The 20,658-nt window shown below is 41.0% G+C and overlaps 1 protein-coding gene across 7 annotated transcripts in view, besides 1 other annotated feature; it reads right to left on the minus strand.

The window, feature by feature from the left end:
- ST8SIA6 (ST8 alpha-N-acetyl-neuraminide alpha-2,8-sialyltransferase 6) overlaps window positions 1–20,658 on the minus strand; it is a 139,175-nt gene that overhangs the window by 19,838 nt on the left and 98,679 nt on the right. Inside the window, exon 1 of one of the 7 annotated variants that reach the window (XM_047425154.1) lies at window positions 1,705–1,772. The exons of the other annotated variants lie outside the window; for them this stretch is intronic. The gene's annotated coding sequence lies outside the window, so the exon portion shown is untranslated. Of the gene's footprint in view, window positions 1–1,704; window positions 1,773–20,658 lie in introns of those variants that run through there. 7 annotated transcript variants of the gene reach the window in all.
- Window positions 9,039–9,239: a silencer, noted in NCBI's record as "peak886 fragment used in MPRA reporter construct". NCBI's record gives its function as "represses an SCP1 promoter by STARR-seq MPRAs in K562 erythroleukemia cells {active_cell/tissue: K562}" and the evidence as "EXISTENCE:reporter gene assay evidence [ECO:0000049][PMID:32103011]".

Raw genomic sequence — 20,658 nt, forward strand, 5'->3', positions numbered from 1 at the left:
CAGTGAATATTCAGCAAGAAATGTTGATGGTAGTGAGTCATTAGAAATAGTCCTTCCTCAGTCCACACTTCTATTATTGGTTTAGTCCTGAAAAGTAAGCTTCCAAACATGTTTCTACTGAATTTTGCCCTTTTGCAAAAATACAACGATCTAATTTGTCAAGGTCATCTAAAATTTAGTCTTCTGAATTCCAATAATTCTCAAGACGTGAAAAGTAGGGGTAATATTTGCACCTCAAAGTTAAGGTTTTTAAAAATACTTCTTATCAGTTAAATATGTTAAAATATTCATTAAAATAGTATATCCTTCTTAATTGGATTCTGTCACCCACTTATTATTTCTTTTTGTATTTTACAACCTACCATTCAAAAAAGATGGTTCATGGAGATTAACAAAAGAGAAAAAATGAAAATGAAATGGTGTGTAGTCAAAAACATGATACTAAGTAGTTTTTAATTATACATTTAATTTGATAAAAATTTGTGTGACATATTGCAAATTCAGAAATTCTTATGCGTATATAATTTTTAGTGGCTCTTTTATCCAGCATTTTGAGAAAAAGCAACATAATAAATTCTCATTTACCTTTGGCAAACAATTTCTCTAAGGATATTCAATGCCCTCAAGAATATTGCATCACCAAAAACACTAAATCAGATTTCTCCTTATGCTTTTTAAAACATTAATAGAGTTTTTGCTGAATTTTTTTTTTTTTTAGATAGAGTCTCACTGTGTTGCCCTGGCTGGAGTGCAGTGGTGGGATCTTGGCTCACTGCAACCTCCATCTCCTGGGTTCAAGCAATTCTCCTACCTCAGTCTCCCAAGTAGCTGGGACTACAGTCGTGCACCGACACGCCCGGCTTATGTTTTGTATTTTAAGTAGAAATGGCGTTTTACCACGTTGACCAGGCTGGTCTCGAACTTCTGACCTCAAGTGATTTGCCCGCCTCAGCCTCCCAAAGTGCTGGAATTACATGCCTGAGCCGCCGCACTGGGCCTTTTTCTTAAATTATATATTTTAAATATCGTGTAAAATTTCCAAACCTGTAGGAAAGTTAAAAGAACTGGACAATAAGCGCTTGAATAACCAGCAGTTAGATTTGACAATTAACTTTTCACTATATTTGCCTTATTGTGTATCTGTCCATTAATCCAATTTTATAGTTGTACTTGTTGCAATTCAAAGTAAATTATAGATCTGAGTGCATGTCACCTTCAAACACTTCCTATCTCCCGACCCTCCGCCAAGCCCCAGAGGACACTTTTGTGATGATTTTTCACCACAGATTCGTTTTTCCTGTTCTAGTATATGAACAGAATTATATCACATGTGTGCTTTTTTTTTTTTTTTTTGAGGTGGAGTCTCACTACCTCACCCAGGCTGAAGTGCAGTGGCCCGATCTCAGCTCACTGCAACTTCCACCTCCCAGGTTCAAGCGATTCTCCTGCCTCAGCCTCCCGAATAGATGTGATTACAGGTGCCCGCCACTACACCCAACTAATTTTTATATTTTTAGTAGAGACGGGGTTTCACCATGTTGGCCAGGCTGGTCTCAAACTCCCGACCCTAGTTGATCCACCCCCCTCGGCCTCCAAAAGTGCTGGGATTACACGTGTGAGCCACCATGCCTGGCCTACATGTATGCTTTTAGGTAAGACTTCTTTCACTCAGCCTAAATGTGTTTTGAGATTCATATATGCTACCATATGACATGGTTTGGGTCTGTGTCCTCATCCAAACCTCATGACGAATTGTAATCCCGTGTTGGAGGAGGGGCCCGGTGGGAGGTGACTGGATCATGGGGGTGGATTTCCCCCTAGCTGTTCTCGTGATAGTGACTGAGTTCTCACGAGATCTGGTTGTTTTAAAGTGTGAAGCACCTCCCCTTCTCTCTCTTCCTCCGGCCGTTTAAGAAGAGCCTGCCACCTCTTTGTCTTCCGCCATGATTATAAGTTTCCTGAGGCCTCCTCAGCCACGATTCCTGTGCAGCCTGCAGAGCCGTGAGCCAATTAAACCTCTTTTCCTTATAAATTACCCCATCTCGGTTATTTCTTTAGAGCAGTGCAAGAACAGACTAATACACCTTGTGTAGCAGCAGACTGTTCTTTATTCCTGGAGTAGTAGTCCATGGTATGGATGTACCAGAGTTGGTTTAGCCATCCCCCTTGCAACTTTTGAAGATCTCACTATCAAAAATCAACATTCAACCCCAAAGCACTCGTTATAATCTCCCAGGAAAAATATCAGAATTATAATCTAAGATGTCACAGGCTAAGGGGACTTTTCCAGCTTTTGTGTGCGGTGGCGGAGTGATAAGCATATGCTCTTTGTCACTTTCCAGCTCATCCATGTGCCAGAGAGTAAGAGCCAGTGTTGGTATAAAGCTGACCTGCTTACAACAAATAAAACAAAATGGAATTTTTATCTCTATTATGCTATTTCCCATCACCCCTAAAGTCAGAATCAGTTCTGATCTTGGGTGACTCTAAAGTCAACTAGACATGTTCACAATAATGGGTATGGCCATTGCTCCCTTCTTGGGTAAAAAGAAGAGGATACATTAAGAAATGGAGGACACTGTGGGTATTCATCAGAAATCCTGCCATTTCCATGACATCTCAGTTGTCTATAATGCAAGGTTTCACCTTCCATGGCAGTAAATATCCCCACCAGATTAGTAGGCACAAGCCTTAACCTGGTAAAACACTGTACACTTTTGCCATTACCCCCACCCGATTTCCACAGCACACAAGGAGGCAGAAAATACTATTCTTTTTTTTTTTTTTTTTTTTGAGACGGAGTTTCACTCTTCCCTCCCAGGCTGGAGTGCAATGGCGCGATCTCAGCTCACCACAACCTCCACCTCCCGGGTTCAATTGATTCTCCTGCCTCAGCCTCCCAAGTAGCTGGGATTACAGGCATGTGCCACCACATCTGACTAATTTTGTATTTTTAGTAGAGAAGGAGTTTCTCCATGTTGGTCAGGCTGGTCTTGAACTCCCGACCTCAGTGATCCGCTCGCCTCGGCCTCCCAAAGTGTTGGGATTACAGGCGTGAGCCACCGTGCCCGGCTGTTATTCCCATTTTAAAGATGAGAAAATTGGGGTTGAGAGAGGGTAAGTTATATGACCAAAGCATACAGTTTGTAAACAACTCAAACCTTTGTGTTTTGACATCCACTTTTCTACAGTTTACACTAGAGTATGTTGTAATTGGGGAAATGTCATTATCTAAGCCTGTTCCCCTTGGATGCTTTCCAAAATGGTACCACCATAGCATAGATAGTTGTTCCCAAAGTAATGCTGGTAGCGTCTTGCTAAAAACCTACCTAGACTCAATTCAAAGGCTATCATACAATGTACATATAAATGCTTCAAAGCCTGTATAACTGAGACATTTGAGGCTCTCCTTTTACGTGGAAGATGTATAAGCTGCCCTATGGGAGCAGGATTATCAGGTGACCCGAACAATGCACCCTAAAATAAATTGAAAAGAAGCCTCTGGCTTGCTGCGAGTCTAACTCTTGCTGCGTTCTACCTTCAGCAATTTCCTCCATGCAACCCAGGTTCAAAAGAGCATACACTGCCCATCCATGTGGCATCCCCCAAGGAAAGAATTGAGACTTTCTGTACTGCACCGAGTTCTAGAATTCAGGAGAGTTCATATACTTTGAAAAATGCTTAACTTTCAAGGAGTAGGTTGGTTCTGGGAGAATCTGACTTAGTGCTTTTCACCTGGATCTATAAGGATGAAATCGAAGATCTGCAAAATCACCTTTGCATCCAGATGTCAAATCATCTTTGCATTACAAATTCCTTTTGAGAAAGGGATCTTTATTAAAATTGTAAAAATTCCTTTTTTTTTTCACTGTAGGTGCTATTTTCTTTTTCTGTTTCTTTTGTTTGTTTGTTTTTATTTGTTTCAAGTCTCAGGTCAAAATTCTTCTTCAGTTCTAAATGCAGTGCTTCCTGGATTTCCATGAAGTGTTAACAACTACTTAAGGCTTACAGTTCACAGACCGAGGCTAACGACCTAAAGGCCCAAACCCATGGCTCCCAGGCACCTCTTCTGTTTATTAAACTCTGAGCCTCCCTAATGAGATGTGAAAAAGTTCCCATAAGGTAGAGGCTGCAGGCACTTTCCAGGTATTGATAAAGAGCTACCTTTCCAGAATTCATTCTCCATGATTCTAATGAGGGTCCTAGGAAAAAGAGTTTTAAAATGTAAGCACAGCAGAAAGTCAAAGGATTTACTTACCATCCAAATCATTTCTAAAATGGCCACATTTCTTTTTCTTCACGAAAATATAACATACATAGGCCAACAATCCAGCACTTGCCTGTCTCCTGTTGGTGCCCCCTTTTTTTACTTCTCTTCTTGCCTCATTTGACATGTAATTCATGGATTGACCAATAATAACAATAACCAACATTTAGTGCATTCTCACTGCATGCTAAATATTTTACATAGATTATTTCACTTAAACCCTACAATAGCCCTACAAAATAGATGCAATTAATATTCTCATTTTATAGATGAGGATAACTTAGGATCATAAAGTTAAGAAGGTCACATATGACACGTTCATTCACTCATTCATATTTATTTAGCACCTATTAAATATTGAGCTCTATGAGAAGTGCTGGCTACACATTGGTCAATAAATCAAGCATTGTCTCTGCCTTTATAGTGTTTGTGATCCTGTAGGAAAGAAAATAAAAAGGTTTAGAAAGATGACTTGTAAGGCAGTAAGTAGCAAAGCAAAGATTCAAACCCAGAATTCAAACTATTCCTCTAAAGCCATTGCCAGGGCTTGCACTGCAAAGAACTGATAAATACAGTGAGTTCTAAGTTTCTCTTGAAAGAATCAGTATGTCGATATGTTCAGTTCTTTGTTCTCCATCTTAAAGTTTAACTTCCTCGTTCTCTTCGTCTCCTTGCCCCTAGTTTCCGTAAACAACCTTCCCACCAGTTCTCATCAGTAGTTCACATCTGTTCCCCTGGTCACCTGCTTCGTCCTGAGTCACCCTGGTCACCTGTTCCGTCCTGAGTCACCCCTGGTCACCTGCTCCATCCTGAGTCACCCCTGGTCACCTGCTCTGACCTGTGTCACCTTTAGTCACGTGTTCCGTAACTGTCTTTCCTGCCAAAACTGCTCACCCCGCCACTCTGGCTCATACCTCTGCTCTCTTTAAAACAGCCAATCGGAATTAAGCTTAGACTGTGCGGTCCAAACCCAGCCAATATGGGAATGTCGCAGCAGTAGGAGCTTCCTGTGTCAGGGATAAGAACCCCTTCCCCTCCCTTGTTCAGGTGTGCTCTCGCCATTGCTCCCTTCATGAGACACACCCTTCTATAGAAGTAAAATTGCCTTGCTGAGAAAATTTATGTTTGAGTGTTATTTCTTTTGCAGCACCAAAAATTTATTTCCAGCAAAACCATGGTGTGCAATGGGGGAAATTAAAATGTTCTTATCTGAGCCACTGTATCTTACAACCCAAAATATTTTTCTAGATTTCTCAAGTTCGTATTTGGAAGAACTTCTTTAACAAAAAATAAAAGAGCTTTCTGGGCTCAAGGGGCCTTTCCATTGCTGTCACATAGTGTAGAAGACTTACCCCCTGCACCCTAGCTGCCCAGCCTCCACACACAGTCTTCATATCCCAGTGACTGCTCTAGACACTGCAGGAGTCTGTGTGTTTGCCTGTGGGCTTGTGTTGTGCAGCTACGGGAGGCAAGGCCCAGAGAAGGTGAAAGAGAAAGAATACTTTGGTATTACAGGTTGAGAACAAGACATCTCTGGTTAGAGGCCATTGAAGTCAGGAAGATTTACAGGCTTTCACTTGACTTTCTAGAACCCAGCAGTGTGCACTGGCTTTCCAAAATTCAAGTGTGATCTGAAATTGTATATTTAAAGGAATCATGGCTACAAAGGGAAGACAGAGATACATACAACTCTATAATGTTCAAAACCATGCCTAGTGTGCTTGGATCTGTTGTGGAAGCTTACTTTCAAAGGCAATTGACAAACCAGGGCCTGTCTGGAGGGAACAGATTGAAATCCATGGTAGGTGAAGAACTAATAACGTCCCGGCTGGAGAAGAGCAGATTCGGAGGATTCAGTAGCTCTCTTCAAATATTTTAAGGACCATAAGGTAAAGGAATAATGAGATTTAACTTCTGTAGCTTCAAGATACAGAATGAGGACTGATATGGACTGAATGCTTGTGTCTCCCCAAAATAAATATTTTGAAACCCAAAGCCCCAGTATGATGGTATTAGGAGGTGAGGTCTTTGGGAAGTGTTTAGGGTCATGAAGGTGGAGCTCTGATGAATGTGAGGTTACAGTAAGAAGCTGGGGCCAGGTGCGGTGGCTTATGCCTGTAATCCCAGCGCTTTGGGAGGCTGAGGCAGGAGGATCACAAGGTCAGGAGTTCGAGACCAGCCTGGCCAACATGGTGAAACCCCCATCTCTACTAAAAATACAAAAAATTAGCCAGGTGTGTTGGCAGCCACCTGTAATCCCAGCTACTCAGGAGGCTGAAGCAAGAGAATCGCTTGAACCCAGGAAGCAGAGGTTGCAGTAACTGGAGACCGCACTACTGCACTCCAGCCTGGGCAACAGAGCAAGGCTCCATCTCAAAAAAAAAAAAAAAAAAAAACAAAAAGAAAGAAAGAAAAAGAAAGAAGCTGGCTGTCTATAACCCAGAAGAGGGCACTCACCAGAACTTACCAGAACCATGCTGGCACCCTGATCTTATACTTCACAGCCTCCAGAACTGTGAGAAATAAATGTGAGTTGTTAAAGCCACCCTGTCTATGCCATTTGATGATAGCAGCCCAAGCTGACTGAGACAAAGACCGATACATAGAGCAATTCAGCCCACATTCACTGAGCAGCCAGCGGTGATGTCCATGGCCCAAGGTCATGGTATTACAATTTGCAAAGTATTAAATACAAATATGAATAAAACATGGATGGGGCTTGCCCTCTGGGAGCTTACGTGTATTAAGAGAGACAGACACAAAGCATCACTGGCATTTAAGTATCATTTCACTATCATATGAGGCTATGAGAGCAGCACAGGGGAGGGGCACTTAACCAGTCTGGGAGTTAGGGGAGATTTTGTGATGGAGCTGTTAACACCGAACCCAGCGCACAGAAGGCACTTGATAAATATTTCCTCATTGAATGAATAAACTTGTGTTTGAGGATAATTCTTTGGGTCATATAGGATGGATGGCAGTGGAAGGAGATCAGAGGGAAGAAAGCCAGCTGGGACATGGCTGCGAGGTTTTTACTAGAGTCACCTAATTAAAGATTAAAAGGGCCTACATGAAACAAGTAATTTTAAAGTTGAAAAGAGGAGGAAGGAGACTTGTGATATATTTAGTAGGTGGAAAGAACAGCCTGGGCACAGTGGCTCATGCCTCTAATCCCAGCACTTTAGGAGGCCAAGGCGGATGGATCACGAGTTCAGAAGTTTGAGACCAGCCTGGCCAACATGGTGAGACCCCCTCTCTACTAAAAATACAAAAATTAGCCGGGCATAGTGGTGGGTGCCTGTAGTCCCAGCTACTCAGGAGGCTGAGGTGGGAGGATCGCTTGAACCCAGGAGACGGAGGCTGCAGTGAGCTGAGATCGCGCCACCATGCTCCAGCCTGGGTGACAGAGACACCCTCTCAAAAAATAAAAATAAGAATGACAAAGGCAGCAGGGCGTTATGATAATGGCTCAATATGAGATGCTCTTCTTGGTCTTCCCCTAAACCTCAGTACTCCCAGAGCAAATCATTCCTTTCGCAAATATTCATCAAGGGCATCCCGGGTGCCTTGCACTGTGCTAGGCTCTGGGGATATGCCAAGGAATGACCCAGACCCCCAGCCTGTCCTCTTCTTGCTCCTGGGACAGCACAATGTAGATGAGAAGCAGAAGGTGGAAGAAGCCTCTGAACAAGGTAACAAAGGTGAACAACGGTTGTTAACTATGGTCCAGGAAGAAAGGTCAGCAAGATAGAGGGAATCTTTTCTCTACAAAGGGTCACTGAACCACAGGAAGAAAAATCAATAGACGGTTGTGCAAGCAAAGAACAATTTGATTCTCCCCTAGAGAGCCACAGAAAATATTGTATTCGTAAGCTCATAAATGTTTGAAAAGGTAATAGAAAACTATTTAATGAGCTCAGAAAATAGTTTCTAAATTTCAGCTCTGATGTTATTGGTACCTGCAGAAGAGAGGTGGAGAGGTTAAAGAGAAAGAGCAAACTAAGACTGCAGAAACCAAGGGAAAAGAAGAAGAAACAGGTGAACATTGCACAAAACAGAGGAGGAAAGAAAAGTAATGGGCACATGAAATAAAACACAGAAAGAGAGCCCTGAGAAAAACAGAAGAGATGAAGACAGAAGGCAAAAGACAGTCATCCACAGAAACCAAGGATTATAGAGACACATGAAATAGACAGATAGAAATGCAAACACGTGATCAGAGGAGCAGGTTTACACAGATAGAACGTTCTACAGAAAGTGCCCGGAAAGAGAGACGCCAGACAGTGGCTCAGATAGGAGCATAAAAAGGGAAACGTATTTGAAGCTCATGTCTATAGATGCATAAATAATAATAATAAATACATGCATGGCTTGTACTGTCTCAAGCACTCTTCCAAGCACTTTATATATTATTTAATCCTTATAAAAGCCTTATGAGGGAAGCGCTATTATCATCCCTGTTGTTGTCCCCATTTTTCAGATGTAGAAGCTGGGTCAGAGCGGTGAAGTTACTTGCCTGAGGTCACACAGCTAGCTAATGACATGACTGAGACTTGGACACAGGCAGTCTAGTCTTAATAGCTGTGTGCTCTTAATACTGCCCTATATCCCTCTAATTATTGTCTAATATATGCACAAATAAACCATGGCAAAGATGCACAGAGGGGGAAAAGTCAAGAAGAAAGCCCACACAGTCACTGTCACAAGACATGAATAAACTCTGTTGTATTAGTAAGATTTCACGCTGCTAATAAAGACATACCAGAGACTGGGTAATTTATAAAGAAAGGAGGTTTAATGGATTCACAGTTCCACGTGGCTGGGGAGGCCTCCCAGTCCTGGCAGAAGGCCAGGAGGAGCAAAGCCACATCTCACATGGTGGCAGGCAAAGAAAGAATGAGAGCCAAGCGAAACCACTTGGGTCTCTTTTCTTATAAAACCATCGGATCTCATGAGACTTACTCACTACCATGAGAACAGTATGGGGGAAACCACTCCAGTGATTCAATTATCTCCCACTGGGTCCCTCCCACAACATATGGGCATTAGGAGAGCTATAATTCAAGATGAGATTTGAGTGAGGACACAGTCAAACCACATCATCTGTCCTTCGTGGGAAAATATCTACACCTTTGGAAATTTTGGAAATTGTGATTAAATATTCTTAAGCTGTGCTGAATGTTCCCAGCTATATTCATAAGAAAGGAGGGAAACAGTGTCCAAATCCCTCCCTCGCAAGGGCCAGGGAAGACCCAGCCAGATACAGGTTAAGGGGCTGCAGGTTGGAAACTGGAGTGCACAGAGTCAAGGCTAAGGGTGAAAATCCATGCCCAGGCAACAGATTGCTTGGGGCTGGGTGAACCAAGACAAACTCCTGCAAGAAAGATAGGATATCTTTTCACGTGGACATGAATGGATAAACAAATCAAGCACTTAGTACTATTCTTACTACTAGGAATGTAACAGAAAAAAAGACAGAGAACATCCCATCCCATGGAGAACTCTTAGCTAGTGGGAGAGAGACAACAGCAAACAATTAGAACACGGTGCCGTCAGTCTACACTGCAGCAGGGGGAGGAGGAGGGAAGAGCTGGGCTAGGCCAGGCCTACTATATACCTCTGAGGCATCACAGAAGGAGCTGCAAGGGGTGAGACTGCAGCACAAAGGCCCACTTCCTCTTGTGACAACAGTGGACCTTTGAGACTGAGATGCCTGGAGCATTTCAGGTGCTGCTCTGAGTGGGACAATCCACTCCCTAATCTTGTGTTTATATTTTGCTGGTTCTGTAATTAAAGCAAAGTACAAGCAAGTTTGGCTGAGTACAAATCCACAATCATGCAAGCCCAAGGAACTGGGCCAGGCATGGCGTCAAGAGCACGTTGGAAGGTACCTAAGCCACCCAAAGTATGGGGACTCAGCTCCCCAGAAGACACAAAGCTTAAGCTGAAAACTTAAACAGAACTAGCCAGGTGAGGCAGGAGAAGGAGATGGAGGGGTAAAGACTGTTTGAGAAGCAGGAAGGAGGGAATGTGAAAGCCTGGAGAAGAGAGAGAGAGCATAGAATGTGCAAAATTCTGAAAGAAATCCTGTGTGGCTTGGCAGATGGAGAACTAGGTGGAGAATGCTGGAGAACTATAGCAAGAGTCTTACAGGCATCACAAAATCAACAATGTGGCTTTCTTCTATGGGAGAGGGCAAAGCATTGAAGGGTCTTATTTATGGAAGTGACACATGGGATATGCATTTTAGGATGTGCACCCTGGCTTCAGTGAGGATAGATTAGTGGGTCTGCAGAAAGATCCCACTAATCAGTTAGAAAGATAGGCAATGACACAGTGTTGCAGTGGCCACCATCAACTCTTTCTCTCCCTACATGCACATGACAAGAAATGAAACCTAAAATTCCTCCGCTTGAATCGGGGCTGGCCTTAGGAAGTGCTTGAACCAGTAGAATGTGGCAGAAGAAGTGACATTCTGGGATTTCCAATGCGAGGTCATAGAAAGTGTTGTGGCTTCTGCCTGGATCTCTTGGAACGTTCATTCTCTGGACACTTCCCCAAGGAATCCAGCCATTCCCCAAAGGAATTGAGCCTTCTTGAGCTGCAAGAAGCTCAAGTCACATATGGAGGTTCCTTTGAAGATCCTTTAGGTGGCAGCTCTAGCTGAATTCCTAGTAAGCAGTCAATGGTAACTTAACTGACATGTGAGCGTCACATCTTGGATGTCCAACTCAGGCGAGCTCTCAGATGACTCCAGTGGACTGCAACCCTATGAAAGCCCTCCATTAAGAGTTCCCTGGGCTGGGTGTGCTGGCTCACATCTGTAATCCCAACACTTTGCTGAGGTGGCAGGATCGCTTGAGCCAAGGAGTTGCCTGGGCAACATAGGGAAACCCCATCTTTACAACAATTTCAAAAATTAGCTGGGCTTGGTGGCATGCTCCTATAGTCCCAGCTACTCAGGAGGCTGAGGCAGGAGGATTGCTTGATCACAGGAGGTCAAGGTTGCAGTGAGCTGTGATGGTGCCACTGCATACCAGTTTGGGTGACAGAGTGAGATCCTGTCTCAAAAACAGTAACAACAACAACAAAAAAATTCCCCAGCTGAGCCCAGGCAGCCCACGGAACTGAGAGAGAATATGAAATCACTGTTTTAAGCCATCAGTTTGGGGGCAGTTTATTATGCAGCAATAGATAACCAACATGCCAGTTAAGAGAGAACAATAGCTATGTGTGTCTGGGCTCTCCAGAAAAATACAATCAACAGTCTATCATCTATCTATCTATCTTATATCTGTATTATCTATCTATGTATGTCTCTATGTATCTTTGTATCTATGTATTTATGTATCTATCTATCGATCTATCGAGACTTAAGAATTGGTCCACACAATTGCAAGGGCTAGCACATCTAAAATCTGTAGGGTAAGCCTGCAGGTTGGACATCCAGGCAGGAGTTGATTCTGCAATCTTGAAGCAGAAATACCTCTTCTCTGGGACACCTCAGTTTTTGCTCTTAAGGCCTTTAATTGATTGAGATGAGACCCACCCACATTATCAACGGAAAGCGCCTTTACTTAATGTCAATTGATTGTTGACGTTAACCACATCTACAAAATACATCACAGCAACACTTAGATTAGCATTTGATTAAATCACTGGGTACTATAGCCTAGCCAAGTAGACACATACAATTAGCCATCCCAGTAACCCAGACCAGAGATGGGTGGTGAGATTGCAAAAGGATAGATTTAAAACATTAGGGTGTGAGACTTTAGCAAAAGTTTGGCGATGGACTAGAAATGGACACTGAAGGAGAAGACAGCAAGGGTCATGCAGGGCTTTCTGATTCAGGCCACTGGGAGAAGGATGCTGACTTCTCTGACACACAGAGTAGCGTAAACGAGAGGGGAGAGGGCAATGATAATAATGAAGGTGGTGACCTGTTGTGGTTTTAATTCATGCTAAGACTTGTAAAGAAAAAAAAAACGGGATCACGTTGCAGAATCGGAGTGAGATTGTGAAAAAGCAGGACTGTGAAATCTTTGGAAAGAAGTAAGGGGTGCACCCATCCGGCTGCCTTCAGGTGCCATTTGCAATGAGCATAAAGCTGTGACAGAAGTGACTTGCAAGGATCCCTCCAGGGGTCTAATTGCAAGAGTGTCCTTTGCCTGCCAAAGCGGGTGGATCACGAGGTCACGAGATCGAGACCATCCTGGCTAACACAGTGAAACCCTGTCTCTACTAAAAATACAAAAAATTAGCCGGGCGTGGTGGCACGTGCCTGTAGTCCCAGCTACTTGGGAGGCTGAGGCAGGAGAATCGGAGGCTGAGGCAGGAGAATCGCTTGAACCCGGGAGATGGGGGTTGCAGTGAGCCGAGATTGCGCCACTGCATTCCAGCCTAGGCGATGGTGAGACTCTGTCTCAAAAAAAAAAAAAAAAAAAAAATTAAAGCTGATTGTGAATTGCTAAGTGTGAAAAACACAAGTTCTAAAAATACAAAATCAACAGTTAAGATGAATGTTAAGATTTCAGAATATATTTTAATTTGCAGACAAAAAAAAAATCTAGGTCACTGCTATTATTGTTCAATGTGTGAAGAAGAAAATGTAAAGAAACCAATTTTCGTTGACGGATTATAAACTTTTATTCAGTTAGATATTTTTAGGGAAGGAAAAGGGAAGAGTAGGAACCTTTTTTTTTTTTTTTTTGCAGACTTTGGCAACATATTGAGAGCCTGAATTAACACTGAATCCTATGAAAACAGTTTTGTAATTATAATGCTGAATCAGTCTTATGTGTAATTACACCAATATGCTACTCTGTGAAACATTTCTTAAGGGAAATGTTCGTGGTATATTTTGTATTTATGCCACTGTCTTTTATAAAAGGTCTCATTATTTCATGAACTTCAATTTACCAGGCCAAGTCCTAACTGTAGGCTTAGGCAAGGGCCAGCAATGCACGTATATTTCAAGGAGCTTCGTCTGTGCTCTGAGAAACTGTGTCTTGCACAGGTGGAGAAACAGGTAGGCAGTTCAGTTCTGCTCATGGCCATTTAGTGAGGCGGGTTCACATACCTAAAGGGGCCCTAACTGCTCCCAGAAAGCCAGCGCGCATCTCAGGCATTGTTCCAGGACGGCTCCCACGGTTCGCTGTGGAATTCATCATCTTCCGCTTTTTGGCTTCAGTCCCACACTCAGCTTCTGTTTTTGCCTGGCCTCTGGGAACTGCTTTTGGCTTCTGGCTCCCTTCCAAATCCTAACTTTTCATCTATGCCCTTAGGCTTCACCCAGCAGAATCTCAAATAAGAATGATCCTTCCTACCCTGGGTTCCTCAGCCCTTACTTAGCCCTAGTCAAGGGCTAAGTAATCGGGGCGGGGCGGGGCGGGAAGCGTAACTCTTGGCTCTGCCTGTACTCGAGCTGATTAATTTTCAGGGAATTCAGAGCGATTCCTGATTAGACCTCAGAGCACGTGGTTTGACCGGCCATCTGGAAAGGGAGGGACAAGCCACAGACAGTTCATATAAAGGTAAATCCTTTTCTACGGAAAATAATGCACAGAAAGACGATAACCTAGAAAGTTGAAGTTTAATACTTTCTGCTTGGTGTGACCTACTTTCCATCATGAAAAGACCAAAGAAAGTTCAAACAGAACGAACTGAACAGGAAGAGTTGGTCCTTACCAAGAACGTGGTATAATCCATATGAAATGATCACAAAAGCAAAACTGGGGTTTATAATTGTTTACACATCCCCCTAGGCAGAGGACTGGAACAGAAACTATTATAGCATTATTGCTCCATCACAGACTTGCTGTATTTATTGCAGATACCAAGAGTTTAAACTAGTTAGTAAAATATTAATTGTAAGCCAGAAAAATGATATTAAACTGGAAATAATCAGAATAGCTACCATGTACTGAGATTCTAATATATAACGGACTCTGTACTGAGCATTTGACATATTGAATATTCATAAAAACTCACAGAGGTTAAGTATTGCTCCATTTTACTGATAAAGACACTGGCTAGGAAAACTGGCTTAGCCTAATAAGAATAAAGACGTTGCCATAAATAACCAGCGGCAAAGGTAAAATGCTGCCTTTAAGATGTTCTAGTAGTAACTTATTCACTTACAGGGGAGACCAAATTTAAAAGAAAATGAAAGATTAGGGATAACAAACAAGAAACATCAATAATAAAATGCCTGAAACAAACAAGACACATGGAGTCAACTTAAAGCTGAGCCTAGAAACCAGACTGTACTCCCCAGCCCTTTCCAACTCCTAGTTCCTATAGTGAGTCTTGACCTATTTTCTGAACCACCTAGAAAGATCCTTTGTTCTTCCTGATGCATTACATAAAACACATGACTCAGATTAACCAGGTCTGTAAATTAAATAAACACACACACACACACACATACACACACAAATGAAAATGTATTAATCGTGGCTAGTGTAATGAAGGTGAATTTCAGGATAATACATCAGCAATGACTTAATCAGGTTGTCCAGGGAAGGCTTCCTTGAGGAAGGGATAACTGGTTCTAAACTGGTTGGGACAGGGGTGGAAGTGGTTGGAGCGATGTGGCCAAAGTCCGTAGTCCCTCCAGTTATTGGGCAAGAAGTAGATGAGAAGGATTCATCGTGGTTCATGGTGACCAGTTTGAAGGTCATGGAATAAGTAGAAGGTACTATGAAAGAGTAGGTATAGACAGCTCCTTCCAGGATTTGGCTGTGTCGTGGAGGACAAAGCATCTTTGAGTATTTAAGAAATGAAACAAAAAATAAAATCGAGATGGCATGCTGACATACTGTGATTTTAGAATCGACTGGCTCACAATGAATGCTTGCTTCACACCAAAGGAGTAGTTTATGTTATTAAGAAAACAGTGATCTAGCCCCAGCTACTCAGAAGGCTGAGGCGGGAGGATCGTTTGAGTCCAGGAGTTCGAGACCAGCCTGGGCCACATAGTGAGACCCTATCTCAACAAAACAAAACAAAACAAAAATGATCTAAGAAATCCAGTGATTTAGGGATTCCAAAGGCAGGAAAACATTCCATTTCAGCCCCAATAGATTGGAGGAAAATTAAGAGCTTCAAATAGACACCACCTTTTTTTTTTTTAGCAACACTTCTATACCTCAGTTAAAATAGAGTTGTCTATTGAACTAGCCACTTGGTACATTGGGAAAAATCCCAGCAACCTACAGGGGAGCTGTCTGTAGTCTGTGTGATCATCAGGCTGACATCACACTGACAGGTAAGATACGGCCATTGATAGTTATCCCTGCTTCAGGTTAATCCATGACACTAATCTCAGAGTAGAGTTTGATCTTCAAACTAGGGCTCCCTCAAAAAATTGGGAAGGTGGCATGACCTGTACATTTAGAATCAGAAAGTCAGACATCAGTGATTGCCCCTTAATGAATCTAGTGAGATACAAAATGGAAGACATGGTATTCAGAAAAGCCAAGAATATTACGAGACCTCAATAACTGGAGAAGCCTCATTTCATCATCTTGCCACTTTTCCCTTTCCCTGAAACTGCTGAGTGTTCCCTGCCCCCACCCCAGCATCTCTCTTCTAATTGCTCTACTGGGCTTCTCAGTCCATGTCTTCATCACTTCACACCTGGCCTAGTGCAGAAGAGGCCACCTGTCCTATCTATCCTGCACAAGTCTACTGCACTAATCATTTTGACATGTGATGGCAGAGGCAGCAATGGATATTGAGAATTCCAAGACTAGATATCCAGTTCCTTCATTTACTAGTGATGACACCTTGGAAAATTCATCTCAATTCTCTGAACCTCTACCTCTTCATTTGTTAAATGGGGTTAAAAAAAAAGTTAAATTTCTTCCAGGATAAAAGTAAAAAAAAATTTTAGTACTGTAACCAGGACATCTATATTTAACCTTCATTTTATGTTAAATTATTCCACCATCACATACTAGATGAAACCCAAACTCCTAGGGCCCCACATAACATGACAGCTAAAGAAAGAAAATGAATAAATACCCAAAGGAAATGAAATCAATATGTTAAAAAGATACCTACACTCCCACGTTTACTACAGCATGATTCACAATAGCCAAGATGTAGAATCAGCCTAAGTGTCCATCAATGGCTGAATGCATAAATGAAATGTGGTATATATACACAGTGGAATAGTATACAGCCTTAAAAAATGAGGAAATTCTGTCATTTGCAGACAACAAGAATAAACCTGGAGGACATTATGCTAAGTGAACTAAGCTAGGCACAGAAAGACAAATACAGCATGGTCTCACTTACATGTGGAATCTAAGAAAGTTGAACTTATAGAAGTACAGAGGAGAATGGTGGTTACAACAGGTTGGGAGGAGATGATGGTCAAAGGGTACAAAGTTTCAGTTGGGCAGAAAGAATACATTTTTCAAGATCCATTGCACAACATGGTGACCATAGTTCCTAATAATGTATTGCAGATTTCAAAACTGCTAAAAGAGCAGATTTTAAATGTTCTCACTAAAAAAAAAAATGTTAAGCATATGAGCTGATGGATATGTTAATTAGCTTGATATAATTATTCCACAGTGTATGCATATATCTAAACACCATATTTTATTCCATAAATAGATACAATATTCATCAATTAAAAATAAACATTTAAATTTAAAGGAATAATAAGTAAAACTCTTCAAAAAGTCCAAATTCAATCAGCAACTCAGATGTCTAAGTTTTTCCCTTAACAGCTAATGCGTACATTGATATTGTTCAGTTTGTAAAAGACCAGCTCATATATTTGAGTAGAGTGTCAGAACTAACGCAAGGTAAAATGAAATATAAAAGAATATGATGATTAAAGCAAAGGATAGGAAGTCAATTGAAATATAAACTCATGAGTGAAGGAACAATGTTAAAACACTGGAGAAAGATCTATCTACTTTGATATTGTACCAGTGTAAACAATGTAATGTACCAATGAAGACATGGCAAGCAATGTTGTAAGGAAAAGAGAATTTGAAACACAAGGCAGGCTGAAAGGGAGCGTATTTGACATGTGAACATAAAAATATATAGCTAATATTGAGTACAACTTGGGAGATAAATTTTGAAGTAGAATTTAGAAGACCAGTGAACCCCACGTGAGTTCCATATACTTTGATGGCAAAGTTTATATTCTGAAGACCAAGGAGAGGAGCTAGTCCCTAAATGTGCAAGAGTTAGTTTCTGTTATTAAATACGGAAGAAGTAATGACATGGTGTGGTTTCTGTTGCTTTTTCTAAATGCACAGGCATGCTGTATGGTAATGACAAATAGAAGATGATATGACAGTATATTAATGCTGAAAAATGGTCTTGATGCAGAGGAAACAAAGAAAAAAGCTTTTTCAATCTGACAGCTGACCCAAATCACCTATCATAAAGTACACACTTCTTAAATTAAAAAAAAATAAAATATGTATTGCTTTCAGCTGTCAATGTAGTCACCCTGTATGAATTGTAAACAGCAAACATTTAGAGGCTCAGAAAAATGAACTTAGTCTTGTATTATTGAAAGAAGCCCCTAGCAGAGATGATTTTTGGTTTTCTCCAAGAACTTTGTCCTACAGAACAAAATGCCTGGGACATAATAAGGGTCAATAAATGTTAATTGAATGAAAAAGTGTAAGCTCACAAAACACTTACCAAAGTCAGACAATACTGTTGCTTTTGCAGAAATAGTTCAGAAAATAAAGTGAAAACTTTGTGGTAAAACTAAGTGTGATTTTCCAGTTTTATGATCTAATGCAAAAATTTGATTAACTTATCCCATCTCTTTTCATAGTTTATATCGTTTCACAAAGTTAAATCATTAAATGGTATGGTTTGAATAATGTAAATGTCATATAGCTGAAACAATTAACATAGGTGGTAGATATGCAGGTGTATTTTGTTTAACACTATTTTCTTCAAAGAACATAAATAAAAATGAAAGCAAGATGGTGACTGTTATTTTAGAAATATCAATTAATCTACAAATACAGCACTGGAATCTTTTCTCACATATCCAACACAAGAAAGACAAAGGAATAACTTCCAAGAAATTTTAATCAAACCTGAGGGGATAATACAAGATTTAATAAAATTGCCACAGTGTAATAGTTATCTGTAACAAAGTAATCAGGCACGAAATACCTGTTTTACAAGTCATTTGAAAGGTATCTCATTTGCATGAGTCATAAATGTGTGGGTTGACATAATAGCACTGTTTCCTGCCACTAAGTTTTCAGTAAATATGTGATTGATAATATTCAGTCATCTTGGATTCCAGCTCATCTCTTTGAAACCTGACGATGTCTATAAAAATCAAATGGTATTAGTGGCTCCAAAAGAAACTAAGAAACAAAATAATAGTGTGTGTATTTCGGGGTTGGGGGCGGGAAGAAAGTAAAATAGAAATTAAGGACTGTTACTGTGTACCTATTAGTTTTCTGTAATTGGCTACAGAAATGAATACAGTTCTTTTAAGTTAGAAAACTATTCAAGAAAGCTAATGCAGTAATTACCATGCAAGTTACCTAGGGAATCTAAGACTAATTACTGGAGCTCAAAGATCTGCGGGGATAAAACCTGCTTACCAGAAGTTTCCAGAGCTTCACAAAGAAGCCTTCATGGGTGAAGCAGAAGAACTGGGGAAGGAGGACTAGAGGGCGTCTCATATCATGTTTAATTTAAATTTAACCATCTCAATGTTATTCTCAAATAGCTGAGTGTCACGCTCAAGCAAATGATTATCCATCAGTTTTCTAAAAATCAGAGGGAGAGACTGTGAAGAGCAATAATTTCTTAGACTGAAATCCAGGTAGATTTTTCACAAATTATTCTGTGCATTAGCTTGTCCTTGGAGGGAAGGGGGTGGGGACCTCTTATAGGAGAATCAATCAAGCTTTTAAAAGCAGAAAAGGCAGACACCTCAACATTGTTGACTTTGTACTGCTACACCTAAAAGAAATTAGATACCAAGAAAGAACAGAGAGCAGGACATCTTCAACTCTTACTTAAATCTCTCTTTAACTGAGTTCAACTAGTATCTCACAAAATGTAAATTCATAGCGGAAACTTAGAATCTGCGGTAAATTTCAGGTAAATCTGAGCCAGACTCACACCTATGCTTGGGATAACCATGCCATCTTGGAAGGTGATTGGATAGGCATCCTGGATAGGCAATTGAATCCCAGAGTCTCAGGGCCAGAAAGATCCTTAGAAATACATTAGTCCATGTGGAAGGTTCTAGACTCTTGGAGAATCTGATGAAAGCCACAGATTCTTTTCCCAGAAACGTGTACAAAATCTCACAATTTTGAGAGTTTTAGGAAACCGCTTTCATGGACTTCAGATTAAGAATCTTCCTAGTTAAGCCTTTCATGTTTCCGGGTAAAAGCTGAAGGAAGTTTGAGACTCAAGCGCCAAGCTGCCAAGTTCTCAGACCCACAATTAAGTGCTGAATGAGTAAAAGCTTAGGAATCTATAAAAAGAGGACAAACCCCCTCGTAGCACAACAAGAAAGTTAAAATAAAATTGCTGAGAAGATAGACTTGGAGAAGCCCTATCTCTTACAAAAGCCAGATTTAAACTGCAGTTGCTTTTCTTTTTTGAGAGAATTCATTTTCTCTTAGCATTTATATTTTCCCCAGACCAAGCAAAAGGTCTTCTGTATCCAGTTGTCTTAAAGTCAGCTCAAACACATCCTGTCCAAGATGCTTTTATCTTCTCAATCCAATTTCTCTTTGAAATCTTTCTGTCAGTAGCAGCATGAGTATTTCAGATGCAGGATTTCTCATTTGACTTTATTTTTCTTCTCCTTCAATGAGAGAACTGGAAGTCAACAAGTAACCAAGTCCTACCAAGTCTTCAGTCATAGAGCAATTTATTGGGTACCATCTATGAGATAGGCACTGGAGATACAAAGATAAACAAGATAATGCCATGTCCCCAAAGGGCTCATAGTCAAGCATCTCTCTCTTGATATTTTCATAGCTACCGTTGATGTTGTAGTTGGTCACCATTCTGTAGTTACTTGTCTACAACCAGCCCCTACCTGCTCTGATTTTTCTACACTACTCCCTCCCTCCTAATACTCCAACTTGCTTTCATTCATTATGCTGTCCGAATACTTTCCCTAAAACAGTAAATTCAATTTGTAATTCCTTTGCTAGCAATATTGCTCTTGGGCTCCTGGTAGCTACAGAATGTCTGTGGACTTTACTCTGATAACCAGATCTCCATGCATCAGATCCTTCCTTGTCTACCTGAAATTATCCTCTTTATCTTGCGTACCTAATAGTACAAGTTCATTGCTCCAGCCCAGCTGGCCTTGAATCTTATTGCCTTTCTTCCTGGCCTCATCACTCCCA

Source organism: Homo sapiens, chromosome 10 (genome assembly GCF_000001405.40).
Source record: "Homo sapiens chromosome 10, GRCh38.p14 Primary Assembly".
NCBI classification, from domain to species: domain Eukaryota; kingdom Metazoa; phylum Chordata; class Mammalia; order Primates; family Hominidae; genus Homo; species Homo sapiens.